Genomic DNA, 26,507 nt, shown 5'->3' on the forward strand with positions numbered 1-26,507 from the left:
CCTTGGGAGGCCGAGGAGGGCGGATAACGAGGTCAGGAGTTGGAGACCAGCCTGACTAACATGGTGAAAACCCGTCTCTACTAAAAATACAAAAATTAGGCGAGTGTGGTGGCACGCGCCTGTAATCCCAGGTACTTAGGAGGCTGAGGCAGGAGAATCGCTTGAACCCGGGAAGCGGAGGTTGCAGTGAGCCGAGATCGCACCATTGCACTCCAGCCTGGGCGACAGAGTGAGACTCCTTCTCAAAAAAAAAAAAAAAAAAAAAAAAAAAAAAAAAAAAAAAACTTATTCATAGCATAGACCAATTGGCCTCTATTGAAATTTCTCCATTATTTTCACAATGTCCCAGGCTGTGAAACCAGGATTTAATAAAGAACCAGAATGCCACATCTGTGTCACCTGGGTAGGGACCAGTCCTGATACATTAACTCCGGGTCTCTGGGTAACTGGACTCAACTGCTGGGCAAAACAGAATGTCCGGCTTGGGTTCCTAACGGGGTACCGCAAAGCCTCATGGGAATTGTAGTGTCACCTTCCAATGATGTTACCATCAAGGACCTTGGGAACCAGCTTTTCTCTCTGCGCTTGCGCCGCCCGGCCCACTCCGCCATTTTCCTCCGGAAGTGCGGCACCCAGAGGCCGTCCTGTAGCCGGGCCGGCTTGGGGCTTGGTTCTATGTCCCTGCGGGTCGGTGCAAGGGCGAAGAGGAACCCGTGGGCCTCAGGGGATCCCGGGGGGCCGGACCAGTGTTCCCTAGTTGTGGGAGCAGACGCGTGGGCACATTGCGGGCGGGCAGGGCCTGAAGTGCAGGTGCGGGCAGTGGACCCTGGCGGGGGCTGGGAGGACAGGCGTGGGGTCCCGGCAGTGAAACGGGTTCTAGAGGCGCAGGAGCAGGTAGGAGAGGCCGGTGGCCCTGGGCCCGGAGTCTGCAGGCCGCGCTCCTGTCCTGCCGCTGAGGGACCCGGTTACCAACCTGCATGACGCTCAGTTTGCCCATCTGTCCCAGTGGTAACACACAGTTCTCGGGAGACGTTCCCCATTCCCAGAGGAGTAGTGTGAAACGCGTGCGCCTCTAGTCTTAAACTTGGCGTTTGTATTAGTTGGGTTTCCTGGTGTCTCTTTAGCAAGTGAAGTTTCTGGTTCCCTCCTTCACTGTGTGACCTGCCTAGTCCTCCTGGGTCGCATTTACAGAAGTTTATACGAGACCTAGTTTCCAGGGAAGAACTCACTGATTCCGCGAGGGAGATGGCTTAATGGATGATGGTCGTCAGCCTTAAGGATACTTCAGTCTTAACTGTGTGTTACAAAGTTTGAAAGGGAGGGTTCCCTATGAATAAGAAGCACACTTGAAAGAACAGCCATCTGGTCTAACCTCTCACTGGTGCTTCAGAGGAGGAAAAAAGGTCACAGGTGAAGATCCCAGTTTTCCTTGCTCAGGAAATATTAATTCTACTCCCTAGAATGCACAAGATTTGCAAAGACTAGGTGATAGTAGAAGGTTTGGACGAACTTTCAGAAGGTTGAGGTGAATTCAGCTAAGAAGAACAGGCAAGGACTTAGGAAATATTCCTTATTTGAAGGGGCCTGAAAGTGTGGTCTGGGGTACAGCAGTGACCTGTCATACTTGAGAGGATTAAAATACTCTCCAAACACAGTCCCATTCCTTCAACCTTAGCTCGTTTTTTCCAGCGTCTGAGATACATTAAACCTAGTCCATCCCCAAATTTAACATTAGATTGCGAAGTTCTATTGATTGTATTTGATTTGTAATTTAACATTTTCTCCCCCTACGTAATTTTGTTAAAAACACAGAAGTGAATTCTGTTCACTTAGGTGTAACAGTTAATACTTGCTGTTTAAGGAACTAATTAAACCTTACTGGCTTATAAAAAACAACCACCATTTTATTTGTTCGAAGTTCTGTGGATCTGCACTTTGGTGTGGTGGGTTCAGCTGGGTAGTTAATATATTTGTGTTGCCTGGATCACAAAAAGGCCTCAGTCACCTGGTGCCTTGACTGAGCCTGGTTGGTTTAAGATAGTTTACTTCACAATCTGGTGGTTTGTGGTGACTCTTGGCTAGGCCCTGTGTCTCCAACAGGGTAGCTCCAGACTTCTTCACAATTTCCCCCAAAAAGGAAAGAACCAATGGATATTTGCATCACATTTTCCATTTTCCATTCACTGGACAAGTCAGATGGAAAAGCCCAATTTATTGTCAGAGCATAATATGAGGGCTTGGATAGAAGGAAAGGTGTTATTGGGAAACATGAGTAGAATGGTGTACTGCAGGAAATACATATTATGTACATTTTAAAAAACGTAATTGTAGGCCAAAATTGCTGGTTTGCAAGATGCACTTTCCATGATGTTCAGGTATAGAAAAGCAAGATGTACTGTCATAGGAACACTCATATGAAGTTATTTGTGGAATCTACATATTAATAGGAAAATAGTTAATACAGCCCAGTATATTTCTATAACATTTATTTTAGTGAACTTATAATGTTTCTTTGTATTAAATTATTAGATTATATCTTTAGATAATATTGTTACTAAATTAGTAGGTAATATATATTTTTATTCAAAAATAAATTGTGCATCTAATGTCTACCAATTAATGTACTTGTAGATGTATCTTATCTTAACTTGAGTCTTTGCTGCCCCTAATGAGGTGTGAAGGACTCTTCTCCCCTGGGGAAGTTTTTCTTTTTCAGGAGGGAGGAGGGCTTTCCCAGGTAATGTGTCTAGAGTGTTGGGCAGAAGAATCTGGGACCACACCACACCAGTTCTCTCCTTAATCCACGTCATTTGCCTTCTATCCCAGCTATGTTTCCAGTGTCCTCTGGGTGTTTCCAAGAGCAACAAGAAATGAATAAATCTCTGGTGAGTTGTTTATTTGTTCTTCACTTTGTTTTACACTGTATTTTCTGAGTTTATGGGTGTCTGTGAATTAAAAAGGAAAAGTAGAAATAAGTAAAACTCAGGTTGAAGGAAATATACATAAATAAGATAAAGCTGACCTGTAGATATAGGCAGGTTATAAGAGCTTAGAGTTGTCTAAGTTGAGTGCAAATTTTCCTCTGATCTTTCTGATGCCGAGACAAAAAAGGCAGTCATGTTTGTTATGTGATTGGAATGGAACCCGAGAAGAGAGCATGCTGTGTTCTTGTGGGACAGGAAAGCTTGCGTGCACCAAGTCTGAACCACCACCTTCATTGGTGACATAGATTATGTGCTGGAACATATTTCACACCGGCCTGGCAGTAAACACTTGTAGTGTTGTGCAGTGGAAACGGTCATCTTCCGCTAAAGCACGGCGTGTTGTGCAGCGGAAATGGTCATCTGCTGCTAAAGCACAGCTTCCATCGTAATGTATGCTCCTTGCTCAAAGAGTGTGGTCCCAAACAGCCTTTGGGAGGTCCTCCTTGATTCATGGATGAAACCTGGAACATCTTGAGGACTGAGTTAACCATAGGTCCTTAAATAACTCTCCACACGTTTTTCTTAGTTTATCTCTACATGCAGGGTGTGCAGCAGCCTGTTCAAAGTCATATTTTCTGGGAAATATTTCCAGTGTTTATTTGCACTTTAGCCCACTCTGTGTAGCCTTATTTCTTCTAAACTCACCATTAACCTGAATAATAGTCAAATTTAGGGGGACTGTATTTGCCTTACTTGAGTCTTCTACCATAGTTGAAACTGTCGTACCCGAGTGAGTTAGAGAGAAATGCCACGCATTGAGACGAATTCAGGAGTCCTTTACTAGCCAGCGACTGAGACATGGCTAACGCACGAAATTCTCTCGGCCCTGAAGAAGGGACTAGATTTTCTTTTATACTTTGGTTTAGAGAGGGGAGGGGGGATTCTAGCTGCAACAACTTTACAGAAGAAAAAAACAGACAAAAAACTTAGAAAAACAGATGGTTACAGGAAAACAAACTGTTCCTGGTGTAGGGTCTTTAAATTCACCACAAAGTGATAGGTGAGGGGGCTCTGGGCATTATCTGCCGGACAAATGTGGGGGCTTTATGATACTATCTCTGAGTAAATTGCTGGGAACTGGGGACATCTCTTGTCTCAGCACTTTATCAGTTATTTGCACGCTTTGATATGTTGAAAATCAGCTTGCACAAGTTAAAGTCCTTGAGGAAAGGGGGTGGGTAAGGAGTCCTTGATGTCTTGTTAATGAAGGAGCCAAATGGAGTTTGTCTGGTTTTCTCAGCTAAGGGAGAGTCTATTCATATTAAAAACAAGGTTAGCTGTCTAAGGAAGAGTCTATTCATGTTAATACAACGTTGGGTATTACAAAACGTCTGTTCATGATCTGGAAATTCTTCTGTGTTAGTTCTGTTAAAAGAAAAACTTTAAAGGAGTTTAATTTAGCAATAAACGATTCATGAATCGGACAGTCCCCAGAATCACAGCAGATTCACAGAGACTCCAGTGCAGTCATGTGGTGGAAGAAGATTTATAGACAAAAGGGAAGTGGCATACCGAAATCGGAAGTGAGGTACAGAAACAACTCAGCGTTTGCCTTGTTTGAACACATTTTGAACATTTGGCAGTGCCTGAGTGGTTGAAGTTTGGCCATTGGGATTGGCCAAGATGTAGCTGTTGTTCCAGGTGCATACTCTTAAGTTAGTTTTTCATTCTTGTATACCTATTAAGGTAGGTTGCAGTTCACCCACAAGGACTCATATATAGAATTATGGAGTCCTTCTCAGGCCATACTTAGTTCACTTTAACAATGCCTTCCCTTTGGTTATTTTCTCAATTTTGAGAGATTGGCCGAAACTTCAGTCACTGGTGTCACTATTACCATTGCAAATGTACTTACTTGGTTTAGAAACCCACTGGGAAATAGACCAGTGAGATTTGAAAAGGTGGAACAAGGACTTGAGTAGAAGGTATCTTCTTATGCTGGAACATCCTGTTTACAGGAGAAAAACAAAACCTGGTTTGTTCTAGGATTTATGTGTTTCCCTAAAGTCTTAGTTTGATTATGTTACATTTAGCATGAGTGACTCCATTTTGGTTTGGTTTGGTTTGGTCTGTTGGGACCTATTGCATGAGCTTAGTTCAAAACAATGGCCTCCCATAATTTTGCTTTAAAAATTCCTCCTTTTTGCTGGGTGTGGTGGCTCACACCTGTAATCCCAGCACTTTGGGAGCCTGAGGTGGGCAGATCACGAGGTCAGGAGATTGAGACCATCCTTGCTAATATGGTGAAACCCCATCTCTACTAAAAATACAAAAAATTAGCCAAGTGTGGTGGCGGGTGCCTGTATTCCCAGCTACTCAGGAGGCTGAGGCAGGAGAATGGCCTGAACCCGGGAGGCAGAGCTTGCAGTGAGCCAAGATCATGCCACTGCACTCCACTCTGGGGGACAGACCAAAACTCTGTCTTAGAAAAAAAAAATCCTCCTTTTCAGTCAAGTTCTCACTTAGTTGAGAGTGTGACCAAAATGTAGGGCCTTAGCATCACTCTTAGTTACCATTGTTTTGGGTTCCAGTTTTAGCATGTCATTCCCATTGTTTTGGGTTTCTGGTTTAGCACATCACTCCCATTGTTTTGGGTTCCGGTTTTAGCACGTCATTCCCATTGTTTTGGGTTTCTGGTTTAGCACGTCACTCTCATTGTTTTGGGTTCCTGTTTTAGCACGTCACTCCCATTGTTTTGGGTTCTGGTTTAGCACGTCACTCACATTGTTTTGGGTTCTGGTTTTAGCACCTCACTCCCATTGTTTTGGGTTTCCAGGTTTTAGCACGTCACTCCCATTGTTTTGGGTTTCTGGTTTAGCACGTCACTCCCATTGTTTTGGGTGTCTGGTTTTATCACGTCACTCCCATCGTTTTGGGTTTCTGGTGTAGCAGGACACTCCCATTGTTTTGGGTTTCTGGTTTTAGCACTTCACTCCCATTGTTTTGGGTTTCTGGTTTAGCAGGACCCTCCCATTGTTTTGGGTTTCTGGTTTTAGCATGTCACTCCCATTGTTTTGGGTTCCGGTTTTAGCACGTCACTCCCATTGTTTTGGGTTCCGGTTTAGCACGTCATTCCCATTGTTTTGGGTTCAGGTTTTAGCACATCACTCCCATTGTTTTGGGTATCTGGTTTTAGCATGTCACTCCCATTGTTTTGTGTATCTGGTTTTAGCACCTCACTCCCATTGTTTTGGGTTTCCAGGTTTTAGCACGTCACTCCCATTGTTTTGGGTTTCTGGTTTATCATGTCACTCTCATTGTTTTGGGTTTCTGGTTTAGCAGGACGCTCCCATTGTTTTGGGTTTCTGGTTTTACACGTCACTCCCATTGTTTTGGGTTTCTGGTTTAGCAGGACACTCCCATTGTTTTGGGTTTCTGCTTTAGCGGGTCACTACCATTGTTTTGGGTTCCGGTTTAAGCACATCACTCCCATTGTTTTGGGTTCCGGTTTTAGCACATCACTCCCATTGTTTTGGATTTCTGGTTTAGCAGGTCACTCCCATTGTTTTTGGTTCTGGTTTAAGCACATCACTCCCGTTGTTTAGGGTTCTGGTTTTAGCACCTCACTCCCATTGTTTGGGTTTCTGGTTTTGCAGGTCACTCCCATTGTTTTGGGTTCCAGTTTAAGCACATCACTCCCATTGTTTTCGTTTCCGGTTTTAGCACGTCACTCCCATTGTTTTGGGTTCCAGTTTTAGCAAGTCACTCCCATTGTTTTGGGTTTCTGGTTTAGCATGTCACTCCCATTGTTTTGGGTTTCCAGTTTAGCATGTCACTCATAGGTTATGGTGGCCTTATGGTTGCACATTTTTTTTAATCTCTTGTCATTCCAGTTGAAGAGATACCATTTGACATTTTAGAGATGGCTGCATGCAAACTCTTGAAACATTTGAGTAAGTACAGTACACCAGGGAGACTCTTATGACTATTGGGATAACACCAAGATGTGGTATATGCTCCTTACTCAGGGTCCCCATAAATCAAACCACCAAAAATCAAATAGATTAAAGAATGAATTAGATAAAGGGTTTACTTGCTTAACTAAGTGGTTTTTTTTTGTTAATTCCCTACAACCAAATCTTTATAATACCCCATGTTTTCTCCACATGCTGTAAGTGTTAGCAGCTGCACAGATACTTAAGATAAGAGTCTCATGATAGTAGAGAAGTCTTGATCTGTGATCTTGGGAAAAGCTGTTCACATTAAGGATGCCATCTTCTTCTGGGGGGAACTGTCCGTGTTAGCTTTACCTTAAGGGTTCCAATAGGCATATGGTTCTGAGTGTGGAGGGACCCTTCTGAGTTGTGAGACTATGAACCCAAAGTTTAAGGTTTTAAAGTTTTGTTGTCATGTGGATGGCGAGGGCAGTCCTTCTCTGATGTTCTCAGAAGATCCAGTCATCAGATTCTAGATTTTGAAGGGTTTGACTGTCCTCAGTGAACCATAAAAGGCTTTCTTTACCTGGTGAAAATACACTTCAGGGTAATAATCTACTGTTTTAACATCAACTCTCTCGCATGGAAGAGCTTTTATACAATCAGAAAACATGCACTGAAAATGACAACTGAATGAAATCCCTTTATAAAATGTTTAAATGGCCCATCAGATAACCAAATGTACCTAAAGTTTTGATTGTTTTCCTAGGAATATAGGTTTCACAAACCAAACATTGGTTATAAACTATTTTAGCAGTTTAGAAATCACCACACCAATATATTTAATTTGGATCGTTTTCTCTTTCTGTGATGAGTTATGGAATGCAGAACTTTTAATAACAAAAGTTTTTAGGACTTAAGAAGGATAAGGTGGCCATCCTGGTTCTTTATAGGTCTGTGCTTAATTAACATCAGACTTACATCCTCTTGAATACCAGCTGTTTCTCCAAATTAGGTGCATGGCACTGGTAACTGATGAGTAGTTATAGGTAATTTGATTTAGACCATGGAGTTTATTTAAATTATATATCTAAACAATTTCAATATTGGTGATTTAGCATGAAAATGTGGCATAATATTTCCTTGGTATACAATTTTTGTTTTACTTGGGTTAGCAGTTTTACAAACCAGTTGGTCTTTTTATTAAATTTTTGATATTTTTTTTTTTGAGACAGAGTCTCACTCTGTTACCTAGGTTGGAGTGCAGTGGCACAATCTTGGCTCACTGCAACCTCTGCCTCCTGGGCTCAAGCAATTCTCTTGCCACAGCCTCCCGAGTAGCTGGGATTACAGGCACATACCACCACACCCAGCTAATTTTTGTATTTTTAGTAGAGGTGGGGTTTCACCTTTGGCCAGGCTGGTCTCAAACTCCTGACCTCAAGTGATCCACCGGCCTTGGCCTCCTAAAGTGCTGGGATTGCCGACATGAGCCGCTGCACCCAGCCTAACTGTTGAGAATTCTTAGCCAGTCCAATTCTTGGGGTATCGGGGAACTTATGGGGAATTTTTACCCATGATATTAAAGTTATTAGAAATCTGTGTTCACGAGTGTTTTTCAGGGTCATTTTCATTCTTTCATGAATCTTCTAAGAGACACCATACTCTAGAATTTTGCATGCTTGTGAAGTTTTTAGAAACTGCATCACTATTAAGCAATTAACTGTGAAATGACTTTAGTTATAGTTAAAGACAATTGACAAGGAAATTTGGTTATTTCTGTGGTCTACAATAACTTAATAACCATAATTAGGGTGGATGTGGTGGCTCATGCCTGTAATCCCAGCACTTTGGGAGGCCGAGGTGGAAGGATCATGAGGTCAGGAGATCGTGACCATCCTGGCTAACACGGTGAAATCCATCTTTACTAAAAATACAAAAATTAGCCTGGCATGGTGGTGGGTGCCTGTAGTCCCAGCTACTCGGGAGGCTGAGGCAGGAGAATGGCATGAACCCGGGAGGCGGAAGTTGCAGTGAGCCGAGATTGCGCCACTGTACTCCAGCCTGGGTGACAGAGCAAGACTCCATCTCAGAAAAAAAAAAAATACAAGAATTTTAGAAATCCTACACAATTTTAGAATGGATTGATGACACACACTAAATATAACCTGAGGAAGGTTCCACATTATTTTTTATTTTGACAGTGCTACCCATGTGACTTAACATGTTAAATAGTCCTGTTTACCTCTCTTTTGGGTGCTTCAGGGGTCTCTGTAGTATCCCAAAATTAGAGGTCAGAAAAGACAATTTTGAAGTTGAAATTTGATTTTGGGAAGCCTATTAAATATATTAAAGGTTTAAACACTTGATGTTATGAAATAGAATTCCACGTCACCGTAAGTCATTCATTTACCAAAAATCATGACAAAAAATTTTTATTATTTTTTTATTTTTATTTTTTATTATACTTTTAGTTTTAGGGTACATGTGCACATTGTGCAGGTTAGTTACATATGTATACATCTGCCATGCTGGTGTGCTGCACCCACTAACTCGTCATCTAGCATTAGGTATATCTCCCAATGCTATCCCTCCCCCCTCCCCCCACACCACAACAGTCCCCAGAGTGTGATATTCCCCTTCCTGTGTCCATGTGATCTCATTGTTCAATTCCCACCTATGAGTGAGAATATGCAGTGTTTGGCTTTACGTTCTTGCAATAGTTTACTGAGAATGATGATTTCCAATTTCATCCATGTCCCTACAAAGGACATGAACTCATCATTTTTTATGGCTGCATAGTATTCCATGGTGTATATGTGCCACATTTTCTTAATCCAGTCTATCATTGTTGGACATTTGGGTTGGTTCCAAGTCTTTGCTATTGTGAATAATGCCGCAATAAACCTACGTGTGCATGTGTCTTTATAGCAGCATGATTTATAGTCCATTGGGTATATACCCAGTAATGGGATGGCTGGGTCAAATGGCATTTCCAGTTCTAGATCCCTGAGGAATCGCCACACTGACTTCCACAATGATTGAACTAGTTTACAGTCCCACCAACAGTGTAAAAGTGTTCCTATTTCTCCACGTCCTCTCCAGCACCTGTTGTTTTCTGACTTTTTAATGATTGCCATTCTAACTGGTGTGAGATGGTATCTCATTGTGGTTTTCATTTGCATTTCTCTGATGGCCAGTGATGATGAGCATTTTTTCATGTGTTTTTTGGCTGCATAAATGTCTTCTTTTGAGAAGTGTCTGTTCATGTCCTTCGCCCACTTTTTGATGGGATTGTTTGTTTTTTTCTTGTAAATTTGTTTGAGTTCATTGTAGATTCTGGATATTAGCCCTTTGTCAGATGAGTAGGTTGCGAAAATTTTCTGCCGTTTTGTAGGTTGCCTGTTCACTCTGATGGTGGTTTCTTTTGCTGTGCAGAAGTTCTTTAGTTTAATAAGATCCCATTTGTCAATTTTGGCATTTGTTGCCATTGCTTTTGGTGTTTTAGACATGAAGTCCTTGCCCATGCCTATGTCCTGAATGGTAATGCCTAGGTTTTCTTCTAGGGTTTTTATGGTTTTAGGTCTAACGTTTAAGTCTTTAATCCATCTTGAATTGATTTTTGTATAAGGTGTAAGGAAGGGATCCAGTTTCAGCTTTTTACATATGGCTAGCCAGTTTTCCCAGCACCATTTATTAAATAGGGAATCCTTTCCCCATTTCTTGTTTTTCTCAGGTTTGTCAAAGATCAGATAGTTGTAGATATGTGGCATTATTTCTGAGGGCTCTGTTCTGTTCCATTGATCTATATCTCTGTTTTGGTACCAGTACCATGCTGTTTTGGTTACTGTAGCCTTGTAGTATAATTTGAAATCAGGTAGTGTGATGCCTCCAGCTTTGTTCTTTTGGCTTAGGATTGACTTGGCGATGTGGGCTCTTTTTTGGTTCCATATGAACTTTAAAGTAGTTTTTTCCAATTCTGTGAAGAAAGTCATTGGTAGCTTGATGGGGATGGCATTGAATCTGTAAATTACCTTGGGCAGTATGGCCATTTTCAAGATATTGATTCTTCCTACCCATGGGCATGGAATGTTCTTCCATTTGTTTTTATCCTTTTTTATTTCCTTGAGCAGTGGTTTGTAGTTCTCCTTGAAGAGGTCCTTCACATCCCTTGTAAGTTGGATTCCTAGGTATTTTATTCTCTTTGAAGCAATTGTGAATGGGAGTTCACTCATGATTTGGCTCTCTGTTTGTCTGTTGTTGGTGTATAAGAATGCTTGTGATTTTTGTACATTGATTTTGTATCCTGAGACTTTGCTGAAGTTGCTTATCAGCTTAAGGAGATTTTGGGCTGAGACAATGAGGTTTTCTAGATATACAATCATGTCGTCTGCAAACAGGGACAATTTGACTTCCTCTTTTCCTAATTGAATACCCTTTATTTCCTTCTCCTGCCTAATTGCCCTGGCCAGAACTTCCAACACTATGTTGAATAGGAGTGGTGAGAGAGGCCATCCCTGTCTTGTGCCAGTTTTCAAAGGGAATGCTTCCAGTTTTTGTCCATTCAGAATGATATTGGCTGTGGGTTTGTCATAGATAGCTCTTATTATTTTGAAATGCGTCCCATCAATACCTAATTTATTGAGAGTTTTTAGCATGAAGCATTGTTGAATTTTGTCAAAGGCCTTTTCTGAATCTATTGAGATAATCATGTGGTTTTTGTTTTTGGCTCTGTTTATATGCTGGATTACATTTATTGATTTGTGTATATTGAACCAGCCTTACATCCCAGGGATGAAGCCCACTTGATCAAGTTGCATAAGCTTTTTGATGTGTTAATGGATTCGGTTTGCCAGTATTTTATTGAGGATTTTTGCATCAATGTTCATCAAGGATATTGGTCTAAAATTCTCTTTTTTGGTTGTGTCTCTGCCTGGCTTTGGTGTCAGAATGATGCTGGCCTCATTAAATGAGTTAGGGAGGATTCCCTCTTTTTCTGTTGATTGGAATAGTTTCAGAAGGAATGGTACCAGTTCCTCCTTGTACCTCTGGTAGAATTCGGCTGTGAATCCATCTGGTCCTGGACTCTTTTTGGTTGGTAAGCTATTGATTATTGCCACAATTTTGGCTCCTGTTATTGGTCTATTCAGAGATTCAACTTCCTGGTTTAGTCTTCGGAGAGTGTATGTGTCGAGGAATTTATCCATTTCTTCTAGATTTTCTAGTTTATTTGCGTAGAGGTGTTTGTATTATTCTCTGATGGTAGTTAGTATTTTGCTGGGATTGGTGGTGATATCCGCATTATCATTTTTTATTGCGTCTATTTGATTCTTCTCTCTTTTTTTCTTTATTAGTCTTGCTAGAGGTCTATCAATTTTGCTGATCCTTTCAAAAAACCAGCTCCTGGATTCATTAATTTTTTGAAGGGATTTTGTGTCTCTATTTCCTTCAGTTCTGCTCTGATTTTAGTTATTTCTTGCCTTCTGCTAGCTTTTGAATGTGTTTGCTCTTGCTTTTCTAGTTCTTTCAATTGTGATGTTAGGGTGTCAATTTTGGATCTTTCCTGTTTTCCCTTGTGGGCATTTAGTGCTATAAATTTCCCTCTACACAGTGCTTTGAATGCGTCCCAGAGATTCTGGTATGTTGTGTCTTTGTTCTCATTGGTTTCAAAGAATATCTTTATTTCTGCCTTCATTTCCTTATGTACCCAGTAGTCATTCAGGAGCAGGTTGTTCAGTTTCCATGTAGTTGAGCAGTTTTGAGTGAGATTCTTAATCTTGAGTTCTAGTTTGATTGCACTGTCATCTGAGAGATAGTTTCTTATAATTTCTGTTCTTTTACATTTGCTGAGGAGAACTTTACTTCCAAGTATGTGGTCAATTTTGGAATAGGTGTGGTGTGGTGCTGAAAACATGTATATTCTGTTGATTTGGGGTGGAAAGTTCTGGAGATGTCTGTTAGGTCCGCTTGGTGTAGAGCTGAGTTCAATTCCTGGGTATGCTTTTTGACTTCCTGTCTTGTTGATCTGTCTAATGTTGACAGTGGGGTGTTAAAGTCTCCCATTATTAATGTGTGGGAGTCTAAGTCTCTTTGTAGGTCACTCAGGACTTGCTTTATGAATCTGCATGCTCCTGTATTGGGTGCATATATATTTAGGATAGTTAGCTCTTCTTGTTGAATTGATCCCTTTACCATTATGTAATGGCCTTCTTTGTCTCTTTTGATCTTTCTTGGTTTAAAGTCTGTTTTATCAGAGACTAGGATTACAACCCCTGCCTTTTTTTGTTTTCCATTTGCTTGGTAGATCTTCCTCCATCCTTTTATTTTGAACCTATGTGTGTCTCTGCACGTGAGATGAGTTTCCTGAATACAGCACACTGATGGTTCTTGACTCTTTATCCAATTTGCCAGTCTGTGTCTTTTAATTGGAGCATTTAGTCCATTTACATTTAAAGTTAATATTGTTATGTGTGAATTTGATCCTGTCATTATGATGTTAGCTGGTTATTTTGCTCGTTAGTTAATGCAGTTTCTTCCTAGTCTCGACGGTGTTTACATTTTGGCATGATTTTGCAGCGGCTGGTACCAGTTGATCCTTTCCATGTTTAGTGCTTCCTTCAGGAGCTCTTGTAAGGCAGGCCTGGTCGTGACAAAATCTCTCAGCATTTGCTTGTCTGTAAAGTATTTTATTTCTCCTTTGCTTATGAAGCTTAGCTTGGCTGGATATGAAATTCTGGGTTGAAAATTCTTTTCTTTAAGAATGTTGAATATTGGCCCCCACTCTCTTCTGGCTTGTAGGGTTTCTGCTGAGAGATCCGCTGTTAGTCTGATGGGCTTCCCTTTGAGGGTAGCCCGACCTTTCTCTCTGGCTGCCCTTAACATTTTTTCCTTCATTTCAACTTTGGTGAATCTGACAATTATGTGTCTTGGAGTTGCTCTTCTCGAGGAGTATCTTTGTGGCGTTCTCTGTATTTTCTGAATCTGAATGTTGGCCTGCCTTGCTAGATTGGGGAAGTTCTCCTGGATAATGTCCTGCAGTGTTTTCCAACTTGGTTCCATTCTCCCTATCACTTTCAGGTACACCAATCAGATGTAGATTTGGTCTTTTCACATAGTCCCATATTTCTTGGAGGCTTTGCTCATTTCTTTTTATTCTTTTTTCTCTAAACTTCCCTTCTCATTTCATTTCATTCATTTCATCTTCCATCGCTGATACCCTTTCTTCCAGTTGATCGCATCGGCTCCTGAGGCTTCTGCATTCTTCACGTAGTTCTCGAGCCTTCGTTTTCAGCTCCATCAGCTCCTTTAAGAAATTCTCTCTATTGGTTATTCTAGTTATACATTCTTCTAAATTTTTTTCAAAGTTTTCAACTTTGCCTTTGGTTTGAATGTCCTGCCATAGCTCAGAGTAATTTGATCATCTGAAGCCTTCTCTCAGCTCGTCAAAATCATTCTCCATCCAGCTTTGTTCCGTTGCTGGTGAGGAACTGCATTCCTTTGGAGGAGGAGAGGCGCTCTGCTTTTTAGAGTTTCCAGTTTTTCTGTTCTGTTTTTTCCCCATCTTTGTGGTTTTATCTACTTTTGGTCTTTGATGATGGTGATGTACACATGGGTTCTTGGTGTGGATGTCCTTTCTGTTTTTTAGTTTTCCTTCTAACAGACAGTACCCTCAGTTTCAGGTCTGTTGGAGTTTTCTAGAGGCCCATTCCCGACCCTGTTTGCCTGGGTATCAGCAGTGGTGTCTGCAAAACCGTGGATTTTCATGATCCGTGAATGCTGCTGTCTGATCGTTCCTCTGGAAGTTTTGTCTCAGAGGAGTACCTGGTCGTGTGAGGTGTCAGTCTGCCCCTGCTAGGGGGCGCCTCCCAGTTAGGCTGCTCGGGGGTCAGGGGTCAGGGACCCACTTGAGGAGGCAGTCTGCCCATTCTCAGATCTCCAGCTGTGTGCTGGGAGAACCACTGCTCTCCTCAAAGCTGTCAGACAGGGACATTTAAGTCTGCAGAGGTTACTGCTGTCTTTTTGTTTGTCTGTGTCCTGCCCCCAGAGGTGGAGCCTGCAGAGGCAGGCAGGCCTCCTTGAGCTGTGGTGGGCTCCACCCAGTTCGAGCTTCCAGGCTGCTTTGTTTACCTAAGAGAGCCTGGGCAATGGCCGGTGCCCCTCCCCCAGCCTCGCTGCTGCCTTGCAGTTTGATCTCAGACTGCTGTGTTAGCAATCATCGAGACTCCATGGGCATAGGACCTTCTGAGCCAGGTGCGGGATATAATCTCGTGGTGTGCCATTTCCTAAGCCCATCAGAAAAGCTCAGTATTAGGGTGGCAGTGGCCCGATTTTCCAGGTGCCATCTGTCACCCCTTTCCTTGACCAGGAAAGGGAACTAACTTCCTGACCCCTTGCACTTCCCGAGTGAGGCAATGCCTTGCCCTGCTTTGGCTAGTGCACAGTGCACTTCACCCACTGTCCTGCACCCACTGTCTGGCACTCCCTAGTGAGATGAACCCAGTACCTCAAATGGAAATGCAGAAATCACCCATCTTCTGCATCGCTCATGCTGGGAGCTGTAGACCGGAGCTGTTCCTATTCGGCCATCTTGGCTCCTCCTCCCATTATTTTTTAATATTTTCTGAAAATCTTCTTTAAAGAGAGAAAGCCAAATGTCACCCACTTTTTCATAAAACCTTACAGGCAAATCTATTATTCTTTTCTTTTTTGAGATGGATTTTCCCTCTTGTTGCCCAAGCTGGAGTGCAATGGTGCGATCTCGGTTTACTGCAACCCCCTGCCTCCCAGGTTCAAGTGATTCTCCGGCCCCAGCCTCCTGAGTAGCTGGGATTAGAGGCATGCCCCACCATGCCCAGCTAATTTTGTGTTTTTAGTAGAGACGGGGTTTTTCCTTGTTGGTCAGGCTGGCCTTGAACTCCTGACCTCATGTGATCCACCTGCCTCGGCCTCCCCAAGTGTTGAGATTACAGCTGTGAGCCACTGCCCCGGGCCATTTTTTTTTAAAGATAGCGTCTTGCTCTGTCACCCTCCTCACCACATTATAGCTCTGGGGGCCAAGCTGCATCACAATGGAAATCATGGAGCCACAGGAAGAATCCACTTAGCTTTGCAAGATGCTGCCCAAGGGGTTGCTTGGAGTAACCAAATTAACATTTTTCATTCTGCTCAGAGCAAAATATATGTGACAAAACATAGCCACGAGCCACTTTGCTTAGCACCCAGTGTCAAACTGGTAAGACTCAAACTTCCTCCCAGATAGGCCATGCCATCTCTAAATCTTTTTAGAAGCTTCTGCATGTTAATAGGCATCCCTAGATGAGACTAATTTGGGAGCCATCATTTTTAAATGCACTTCAGGGCATTATTCATTTGGAATGTTACACTATAAGTTATCTTTAGTAAGATTTTGCCATTTCTGTAAGACTTTGCTGCTTCCCAGGCCTAATGAATTAGCCAGAAAGAACTTAGTTTTCCAGAAATTAAGGATCCTATTTTTACCTAATATATTGGCTTTACTCTCAGGTTCCCTTGATTGACTTAGCCAATGATTTTTTTTCCTACCTAAGCGTGTGAGGAAAATGAAACAAAGGGGCAGAACACAAAAATCCCCGTGAATTTCCAAAAGCCAAATTTTACAACCCTCCAATATTATCATTTACTACCACTTTCCTTCTGACCCATTCAGATGTAGGAGGCCTCTAACTGGAACTGGATTCAAGCCAGTTAATTACTGGATCAAATCTGATCCTGGACCCGGTCCCGTTTCTGTCATAACTTCTAAAACATCCAGCCAGTCATGGCTGGATAGCAGTTTGGAACAGAAATTTGCTCAGAGAAACTCAGCTCAAAACACAAATTCATGGAGCTCTGAAATCCGAGAGAGAATTTACCACGATCCCCAGATGCTCTGAGAGGTCAAAGGGCACAAGTGTTACAGAATCCTGAGGCGTCACTTTTCTGCCTGAAACCTCTGGCTGGTGGCGCCTTTACCTGTGTTTTGCTCGGGCCCACTGGGTTCGTTCTGTCCACTTGGCTCATGCTAGTGGTCTGGATCCCACACCTGCCAAGGGTGAGCTGGGTACAGAGCAGTGAAGGGTGTGTGAGCAAGCGAGCATGGGATCTGGCCACTGCACACAGCCAAGCATGCCAGCTGCAGTGGGGTGGGCAGCTCCAGGCACCGCCACAGGTGCCAGCTCCCTGTGAGGCTGCAGCTGGACCAGGCTGACTGCAAACAGCTTCCACTGTGGGTATCAGGGAATGCAGCGGTGCCTGGAAGCTTCGAGATGCAGGAACTGCAGAGCCCCAAATAAGGTGTCACAGCCCTGGCTTGGGGAGCTCCTAGGTCTGGGCTCCCTGAAGGGCCACAGCTCTTCTCTCCTTCTCTCTTCTCTTCTTCTTGCCTGCAATTTGGCAAGCAAGGGGTGCGTTTCAGCCCTGTTTATGTTACACCTCTTTCAGCCCTGCTAGTTGGCAGGTCCCGAGTTCTTGTCCTGAGTCCAGGAAGAATGAGGTATGTGGGCAAGTAGAAGGTGAGCAAGGTGAAGAGGTGCTTTATTGAGCAACAGTACAGCTCAGAGGAGACGTGCAGTGGGTAGCTCCTTTCGGCAGGCAGGTCATCCCAATGTCTGTTCAGCTCTCAGCAGCTGAGAGAGATGCATGGTGGTTAGCTATGCCCACAGTGCCCAGGCTTTTCGAGCTGAGGAGTGCCTTCAAGCCAGTGCTGAGCCACTCTTAGCCCCACCTCAACGTCCCTCCTGTGCTCATCAGTTCCCAAAGTGTGGAGGGGGCCGAGGTGGCAGGGGGCTGGCATGTCAGCACTGCCCTGAGCTTGCACAAACTGGGCTGGGTTGCGACTGTGCCTGGGTTCAACCTCAATTTGGATCCGAAGTTGGAGTGGGCTCTGGGAGCGGAGACATGCCAGGTGGTGGGAGCAGGTATGACTGGGCCTACGGGGGCAGGGGGGCTTGCTGGGCCTCTGAGAGTGCAAAGATGCCCGGGTTTGCTGTCATGGGTGGATGGCTGCAGCTGTGCCTGGGAGGGTGGGGCTCCTGCCTGCCAATTTAGAAGGGGTGGGTCTCTCACCTGTTCCTGGCTCCCACTAACTTTGAGGAGTTCACAGCCCCAGCCACTCCTCCCCACTGCAGCCAGTGTCTCCGTAGCAACTGCTCCACATGGGCCACTGCTGCCATCATAGAGCGGTCCTTGCAGGTGCCTTTCTTGTACCTCAGCACTCCTGGGGGTCATTAGAAGCCCTAGCAACACTGCTCACCACACTATAGCTCCAGAGGCCCTAGCAGTCCTGCTCCCACAGATCCCACTTCTGACACCATCTATTAAAAGAAAATCTTCAGCTGAATTAAATTTAAAGGAACTTAATTGAGCAATGAATGATTCACGAATCAGGCAGCCCCCAGAATCACAGCAGATTCAGTGAGACTCCAGCACAGCTACATGGTGGAAGATTTATAGACAATAAAGGGAACGTGATGTACAGAAATCTGAAGTGAGGAGTGAGGTCCAGAAGCAACTGGGTCCGTTACAGTTCTCAGCAGTGAGGTCCAGAAACAACTGGACTGGTTACAGTGCTCAGCATTTGCCTTATTTGAACACAGCTGAACACTCAGTAGTGTGTGAGTGGCAGAAGTTTGGCTGTTGGGATTGGCCAGGACTCAGCTATAGTTACAGGTGCATACTCCAAAGTTAGGTTATCAGTCTTTCTACCTATTAAGTTAGGTTGCAGTTTGTCCACAGGGACTCAAATCTAGAAGTACAGAGTCCTTCCCAGGCCATATTTAGTTCACTGTAACAGTTCCTATTATGACCTCACTGACAGTTCTTTTTCTCTGAATTTTCCTTTCTTCTCAACAGCTTGTCCAAATGTTCCATTGGTCCCTGTTCATCCCGCCCTGCAGCTCTCCTTGACTGATTCTGCCCTTTGTGGTTTGCAGTCCTGTTTCTCTACAGCTTGGACCCCTTCAATCTTTCCATCATAGGTTTAACTCTCTGTTGAATTCTTATTTGTAGCTACGCAAATGTTACCTTAAGCTAAAAAAATTCAAAGTGAAAGCCACATCCTCCTCTCTTCCCTTATGTGTATGGTATTACTACCATGCAGCCAGTGACCCAAAATGGGATTTTTTCTGGGCTTTTCTTGCTTAGATTCAGGCTCATCTGGTGTCAAGCCTTGTTACTTTTGTTTCCTTGTTCTTTTATTTTTAATTTTTTTTCTTTTGAGACAGAGTTTCACTCTTGTTGCCCAGGCTAGAGTGCAGTGGTGTGATCCCGGCTCACTGCAGCCTCCACCTCCCGGGTTCAAGCAATTCTCCTGCCTCAGCTCCTGAGTAGCTGGTATTACAGGCATTTGCCACCACGCCTGGCTAATTTTGTATTTTTAGTAGAGATGGGGTTTCTCTGTTTTGATCAGGGTGGTCTCGAGCTCCCGACCTCAGGTGATCTGCCCACCTCGGCCTCCCAAAGTGCTGGGATTACAGGCCTGAGCCACCGTGCCTGGCCTGCTTGTTGTTTTCATCTCATCCTGATTTCTGAATACAGGAGAGGAGCTGAGTTGGTGTTCACTAACAAGCACAGAAGCTTTGTTACATTTACAGTGTCATTCTTGGCAAAACCTGAATGGTATGTTTGTGGGGTGATGAGGTTCAGTCCCCTGTGACCTGTGCATCTGGCCAACACTGTGGTGACATCCTTAGGAATCCATGGGGAGAGACAAAGCATTCAGGAGTTAGTGGGTCACGTTTGACAAGGGCCAATAAAGAAATATGCAAAGACAAAAAACAAGAAGAACATTATCATATTTTATACCTTTTGTTTATATAAATTTATGTCAATGATTCTAGCTTATGTTAATATACAATGTATACAATATGCTAACATATACAATATATGTTTATAGTTTAAACATTTCTGTCATGTTTTCAGATTCTTTAAAGATTACATTACACTTCCTATTTCAGATAGCTGTTTAAAATGAGTAAGGAAAAACGGATGTGTGCATCAGTTCTAACTGTTTATGGACTAAAACTAGTTGATTTCTTGGTTAAGAACAAAAAGTGACAACCTAATTAACTGAAAATTTTAAGTAGGCAATTATGGTTTTAGCTTTAATGTAAAATATTAACTATGCTCCATTCTTGCATTTTTAACCTAATACTCAATATAAATCGCCACATGCCATGTTTCAGATCAAGGTTCTACTTGTGATCTCTCATGAGTTTTTCAAGGTTTTAATTATCTGAGATGTAACAATGTACCCATAACCTTACTGGCTTAAACCAGGAATTTATTCTTTTTACATGTCACAATTTTCTGGGTCAAGACACTGGACAGAGCGGTGTGGGTTGGTTGCTTCATGATGTCCCTGGTCTCATCTGGAAGGACTCTAGTGGCTGGAGATGTGAAGCAGGCACCCAGAAGGACTCTAGTGGCTGGGGACATGGAGCAGGCACCCAGCCCTCTCTTTGTGGCCAGCACGGACTTCCTTCCAGTCTGGTAGCATCAGGTAGTCAGGTTTGTCTGGCTTCTCCCAGGGTGTGTGTCCAAGAGGCCCAGGCAGAAGCTGTAAGGTCTCTCATGATCATCCCTCAGAAGTCCCAGAGCATCTCTCCTGCCACACTGTCCAGTTGTACTCATCACTGAGACCAGCCATGATTCAAGGGGGAAAGGTGATTAGATTCCACCTCTTGATGAGAAGCATAGTAGGAACCTGCAGCAGTCTTTAATAAACCACAGCTTGTCCTCTGGCCACAAACTATTAACGTTTCTCCCACATGCAAATTATGCTTTGCCCCTCTCAAGAGCCCCAGAATGGTTTTCCTTATGGCACTGGCTAGTAGCCCAACTGAATCCTGAATCAGGTTGTGGTGGCTTGTCATCTGCACCCACACACACTCAGCTGCAGTGAGGACTGAATCAGGTTGTGGTGGCCTGTCATCTGACCCCCCACACACAGCCACAGTGGGGACTGAATCAGGTTGTTGTGAGCTATCATCTGAGCCCACAAACTTAGCCGCAGTGAGGGGACTGCTGTGAAAACAGTCGACATTTCCCTTTAGAAGCTTTGGTGGGAGGCAAGAGGGAAGTGCTGCCCTGCAGGCCCCGTCTAACAGTTGGTCATTCCCATGGGGCGCCTGTTACAGTTCTGTGATTAGTGCCCAGTCCTGGTCCCTGAAAACGGCGCCCAGTCCTGGTCCCTGAGAATGGTGTTTGTGTCCTTTTACTCCTCCCTCTGGGCTTTTGTCATTCTCCATGTTCTTTTTCCTTCAGTGCCTGGGTTGCCGTTGACCAGCTTTCCCTGCCTTTTTCTTATGGTCAATAGGGTATTCAATGGCTTCTTTTTCATTTTTTTTCCTTTTCTTTTCTTTTCTTTTTTTTTACTTTGGCCTTTTGAGACAAGAAATTATTTCTTTATATTTTCTCTAAATTCTGTTTGAAAACTGAACCTTCTTCTTTAGATCATGTCCCTCTCCTGTCATATTTATTCAGTGACAGTTAGGGGAGGCTGGTAGCACTTTCCATGTTCTTCCCAGATGTCTCCTTAGGCAGATCCCTGAGATGGTGCAGTGCCCTTTCAGTTTCCATGTTGTGGCCATAGTTTTCCCACAGTCCCTCAGCAAGTAACTCTCAGACCTTTTCTCCAGTTTCCAATGACATTTTCTCACCGTCCTTCAGGCCCTGACCAAGAGTCTTGATGCCCTTCCAGGTTGCATGAATGGTCTCCTTGAGGCCCAGTTACAGGTCAGCCTCACAGTCGTGTCACATATTGTAGCTTCTGATTACCACAGCAGCTCATTTCCAGCTGCCATATTCTGTTCCAGTTATCTATTCTGAAGTAAAACAACTCATTATTACTTGTTTTTTGGCTTAGAGAGTCTTGGTGGCCAGCTCATCTCACACACAGTTGCAGCCAAGCTGGATTGTGTGAAAGCACAGTGGGGTGGTGTGCAGGGTGGCTCACTAGTGGTTGGGAGTGGATGTTGCTGGAGGCTCACTAGTTGTTGGGAGTCGGTGTTGCTGGAGGCTCAGTGGGGGATGTCAATGCGTGTAGCTAGTCATGGACTGGCCTTGTGGTTTCCATCATGAGGTCTCAGGGGAGTGGGATTTCCTGCCTGGTGACTGGCTTTCTCCTGGGTAAGTGTTCTGTTTTCTCAGCCTGGCTTCTGAAGTCCCCAAATACCAGCTTTGTCACCTTCTGTTGGCCAAATAAGTCAGTAGTCTGGTCAAGGTTTAAGGGGAATTGGTTCTCACAGAGAGAGGAGCAGGAAAGAATTTGTCACCTTTAGTCTACCAGAAATGAGATTTTTATAACAAGTTTATTCCAAATACATTCCAGTTCCCCTTGTGAATACTTTTTTGACTCACAGGGTATTTCAAAGTTTATTACTTGGTTTTCAGACATTTGAGGCTTTTCTGGATATCAATTTGTTGTTGGTTTCTAATTTAATTTCAAGTGTTCAGACAACATCCTTTGTATACTATTTCAGGCTTGAACCTTTTCTCAATCCATCGACATACAGTCTATCTTGGCACTGCCAAGTACCATTTGGGTCAGGATTTTGTCATTTAGATCCGTATTTTTCCTATATTTTTATCTGGTTGTTCCGTCAGTTACTGAGAGAGCAGTATTAATTCACCAGCTATAATTTTGGATTGTCAATTTCCTGCTTTTGTTCTGTTGTTTTTGATTCACATACTTTGAGGTTCTGTGTGTGTGTGTGTAGTTTGTGTGCACTTTGAGGCACAATTTATAATTGTAACATCATCCTCTCTGATTCTTTTATTTTTATTAAATTACCCTGTTTATTTCTGGTGATATATTTTGTTCTGAAGCCTCTTTCATCTAGTGTTAACATCTCTGTTGAAGCTTTTTATGATTAGTGTCTGGATAGCATATTTTTATGTTTAGCATCTGCATAGCATATTTTTTCTCATACTTTGTGTCTTTGTGTTTAAATTGTGTCTCTGTGGATGCCATATTGTTGGGTCTTGCCTTCCTCTCAGGTCTGGCAGTCTCTGTCTTAAGTAGAGTATTTGTCCACTTACATTGTAACTAATCATTGCTAAGGTTGGATTTAGGTCTGCCATTTTTCTACTTATTTTCTATTTGTTTGTTTATTTTTTTTAAGACAGGGTCTTGTTCTGTCACCCAGTCTGTAGTGCAATGGTGCAATCTTGGCTCACTGCAACCTCTGCCTCCCAGGCCCAACCAATCCTCACTTGAGCCCCCTGAGTAGCTGGGACTACAAGTGCATGGCACCACACCTGGCTAATTTTTATATTTTTGTAGAGATAGGGTTTTGCCATGTTGCACAGGCTGGTCTTGAACTACTGAGCTCAAGCAATCTACCCACCTTGGCCTCCCAAAGTGTTCAGATTACAGGCATGAGCCACCATGCCTGGCCTTCGTCTGTCTTTTGATCTTCTATATATTCTTTCCTAACTTCTTTTGGGTTAAATATTTCTAAATATTCCAGTTTGATTAATCTTTTGGCTTTTGGAAATAATTTTTTATAGGCTGGGCATGTTGGCTTATGCTCATAATCTCAGCTCTGTGTGAGTCCAAGGGAGGTGGATTGCTTGAACCCAGGAGTTTGAGACCAGCCTGGGCAACATGGCAAAACCCTCTCTACAAAAAACCAAACCAAAATTTAGCCTGACATCTTGGTGTGCACCTGTAGTCCTAACTATTTGGGAGGCTGAGGTGGGAGGGTTGCTTGAGCCTGGGAGGTTGAGGCTGCAATGAGCTGTGATCATGCCATTCCACTCCTGCCAGGGCAACAGAGTAAGACCGTGTGTCAAAAAAGATCATTTTTTATAAATAATTTATAATTTCGAATTTTGGTAACAAACACATACCTTAAAATTTACCATCATAACCAGTTGTAAGTATACAGTTTTGTAGAGTTAAGAATATTTACATTGTTGTGTAGCAGATTTCTAGATTTTTTTTTATCTTAGAAAACTCTATACCCATTCAACAACTATTAATTTCCCCTTCCTTCCACCTCCTGGCAAGTACTATTCTACTTTGTGTTTCTAAAAATTTGGCTTATATACCTAGGGTTATATAATATTTGTTTTTTAAGTAGGTTCCATGTTATGTGCAGATGTGTCAGGATTTTCTTCCTTTCTATGGCTGAATAATATTTCTTCATATATATATATTTTCTCTATATATATATATATGTATATTCTTTTGTTTATCCATCTATTCCTGGATGGACGTTTTGGTTTCTTCCACCTCGTGGCTATGTAATGCTCCTGTGAACACAGGTGTACACATATCTGTTTGAGGTCCTGCTACTAGTTATTCTGTCTCTGTAGAAGTTGGATGGCTGGATCATATGGTCATTTTATTTTATTTTTTTGAGGAGCCAGTTAATATTTCCACCAACAGTGTTCAAGTGTTTCAGTTTCACCTGCACTTGTTACTTTCTGTTGGGTTTGAAGTGATGTCCCATTGTGGTTTCTATTTGCATTTCTCTAATGATTAGTGATGTTACACATCTTCTCATATATCTCATGTATCTGTTGGCTATTTGTATATCATCTTTGCATCTTTGGATGAATGTTCTTTGTCCATTTTTTAATCACTTTATTTTGTTGTGTTGTAGCTGGGTTTTTTGGTCATGAGCATTCATTTATCTCACAGTTCATTCTTGTTACTTGGGCCAGGGTCATGATCATTCATTATCTCTCAGTTCATCCTCATTACGTTGGGCAAACAGTCATGCTGCAGGGTATAGATTATGTTATTCTGTTACTTTCAGGTAGAATTCGGGTCTAGGTTCTAATTGTTTCTAAGTTTAGATTCTGAATGAGAATCAGCAGAGGTAGACCACTGCTGCTGAGGCCTGGGGATTGCTGGGAAAAAGGCAGGAAACAGATATTGACCTGACCATGGAGGGTTTATGTTTCACGGCTCCCATCTGGGTACCCAAGGAACCTACATGTAGCTCGTGTGTGGAGAGCCTACATTGCCCACTCAAAGCAATTGAGGATGGAACAGTCTTGGGGCTGGAGCTCATTATTTGGAATGATAACCACATCTGCACAGAGAGGACCTGATAAGATGTTGTCCTTCCATGTATATCTGGGAATCCTGTGTAGGGTCTCTCTGTAAGGACAGGGGCAGTGTTGGCTCCTTGGCCTCTAGTTAGCTTCACAAGTAGTCTAGTAAAGGCTTTGCCAACTTGTCACCATCTGTGGATATTCTGGTCAGCTCTTGTTTTCACCCTACTGACTTCTTCAGACACTAGGCTTTTGCTTTAGACCATTCATGGTTTTCTTCCTCTTCAAATCAGTAATCAATAAATCGCCTTCAAGTCAATAAATTTCCACTCCTTTAGGAAACCCTGATCTTCTGGTCACACCAAGGTTTAATTAACTGGTTTGATTGTTTTTCTGTTTTCTTGGATTTTTTTTCCTTCTTCCTGGGGGTTTCTAGTAATTCTAGTTTGATGTCTCACTTTCTCCATTTTTTATTTCTTAGTTTTCTTCTGTGATTATTTTCACTGCAGCTGCAGGGCCTAATCCTGGGTTGGCAGAGAACTAGCACTTACTCTGCCCTAATTGGAATCCAGGAGAGATAGCAGGTTCCCTAGTGTGAAAATGTGTTTGCTCCTCTCTGCTTCTGGTAGTCTCTCTGTAGGAGTTCTTTACGCATTCTGAATGTTCACTTCTTATGAGATACATGATGTGCAACTATAGGTTGAATGTCTCTGATCCAAAAATCTGAAATCCCAAATGCTCCAAAGTCTGAAACTTTTTGAGTGCCAACATGACACTCAAAGGAAATGCTTATTGGAGCATCTCAGACTCAGGTGTTTGAATTTGAGATCCTCAACCAGTAAGAATAGTGCAAATATTACAAAATCTGAAACACATCCCAAGCATTTCAAATAAGGGACACTCAACTGGTATTTTTTTTAATTTTACAGTTTGCCTTTTACCCTGTTGGTTGTGACCTTTGAGGTACAGAAGTTTTTAGGTTTGATATATTTTTGCTTTTACTGCCTGAGCTTTTAATGTCATATCCTAAAAATTATTGACAAATTCATCGTCATAAAGCATTTTCCAAATTTGTTTTCCCTAGGAGTTTGATAGTTCTAGTTTTACATTTAGGTTTATAATTCACTTTGAATTGATTTTAACGTGGTGTAAGGTAAGAGTCCAACTTCATTGTTTTGCATGTAGTTATACAATTTTCCCATCATCACTTGTTGAAGAAACTGTGCTTTTCCATTGAGTGGTCTTGGCATCCTTCTGGAAGATCATCGGACCATATATGCCAGGGTTGGTTTCTGAGGTCTCTGTTGTGTTGGTCCATAAGTGTGTCAAGAGTGTCTTTATGCCATGACCACATTTTTTCTTTTTGGCTTATTGCAGTTTTGTAATTGCTTTGAGACGTTTAATTTTGTTCTGTTTCAAGATTGATTTGCCTATTCATGGGCCCTGGAGATTCCATATGAGTTTTAGGATAGGTTTTTCTGTTTATCAAAAATGTCATTGGAATCTTTATAAGGATTGTATTGAATCTAGGTCACTTCGAGTAGTGTTGACATCATTCCAAGATGAAATCATCTAATTTGCAAACCCAGCTTTTCTTTTCATTTATTTGTGTTTAATTTCTTTT

General features: G+C 42.6%; 1 long non-coding RNA gene across 3 annotated transcripts in view, besides 2 other annotated features; it reads left to right on the forward strand.

The window, feature by feature from the left end:
* The first annotated feature begins 634 nt into the window (after window positions 1–634).
* Window positions 635–26,507, forward strand: part of LOC101930100 (uncharacterized) — a 44,165-nt gene continuing 18,292 nt past the window's right edge. For 2 of the 3 annotated variants that reach the window (NR_188301.1, NR_188303.1), the window contains exons 1-3: window positions 635–810; window positions 2,827–2,885; window positions 6,818–6,877. This is a non-coding gene — a long non-coding RNA (uncharacterized LOC101930100). Of the gene's footprint in view, window positions 811–1,191; window positions 1,411–2,826; window positions 2,886–6,817; window positions 6,878–26,507 lie in introns of all 3 variants that reach the window. The other variant, NR_188302.1, reaches the window with a different exon arrangement.
* Window positions 14,427–14,928: an enhancer, noted in NCBI's record as "H3K4me1 hESC enhancer chr21:10177673-10178174 (GRCh37/hg19 assembly coordinates)". NCBI's record gives its function as "activates a minimal SCP1, AML or CMV promoter by ChIP-STARR-seq in primed H9 embryonic stem cells {active_cell/tissue: H9 hESC(primed)}" and the evidence as "EXISTENCE:reporter gene assay evidence [ECO:0000049][PMID:30033119]".
* Window positions 14,929–15,428: an enhancer, noted in NCBI's record as "H3K4me1 hESC enhancer chr21:10178175-10178674 (GRCh37/hg19 assembly coordinates)". NCBI's record gives its function as "activates a minimal SCP1, AML or CMV promoter by ChIP-STARR-seq in primed H9 embryonic stem cells {active_cell/tissue: H9 hESC(primed)}" and the evidence as "EXISTENCE:reporter gene assay evidence [ECO:0000049][PMID:30033119]".

Source organism: Homo sapiens, chromosome 21 (genome assembly GCF_000001405.40).
Source record: "Homo sapiens chromosome 21, GRCh38.p14 Primary Assembly".
Taxonomy (NCBI): domain Eukaryota; kingdom Metazoa; phylum Chordata; class Mammalia; order Primates; family Hominidae; genus Homo; species Homo sapiens.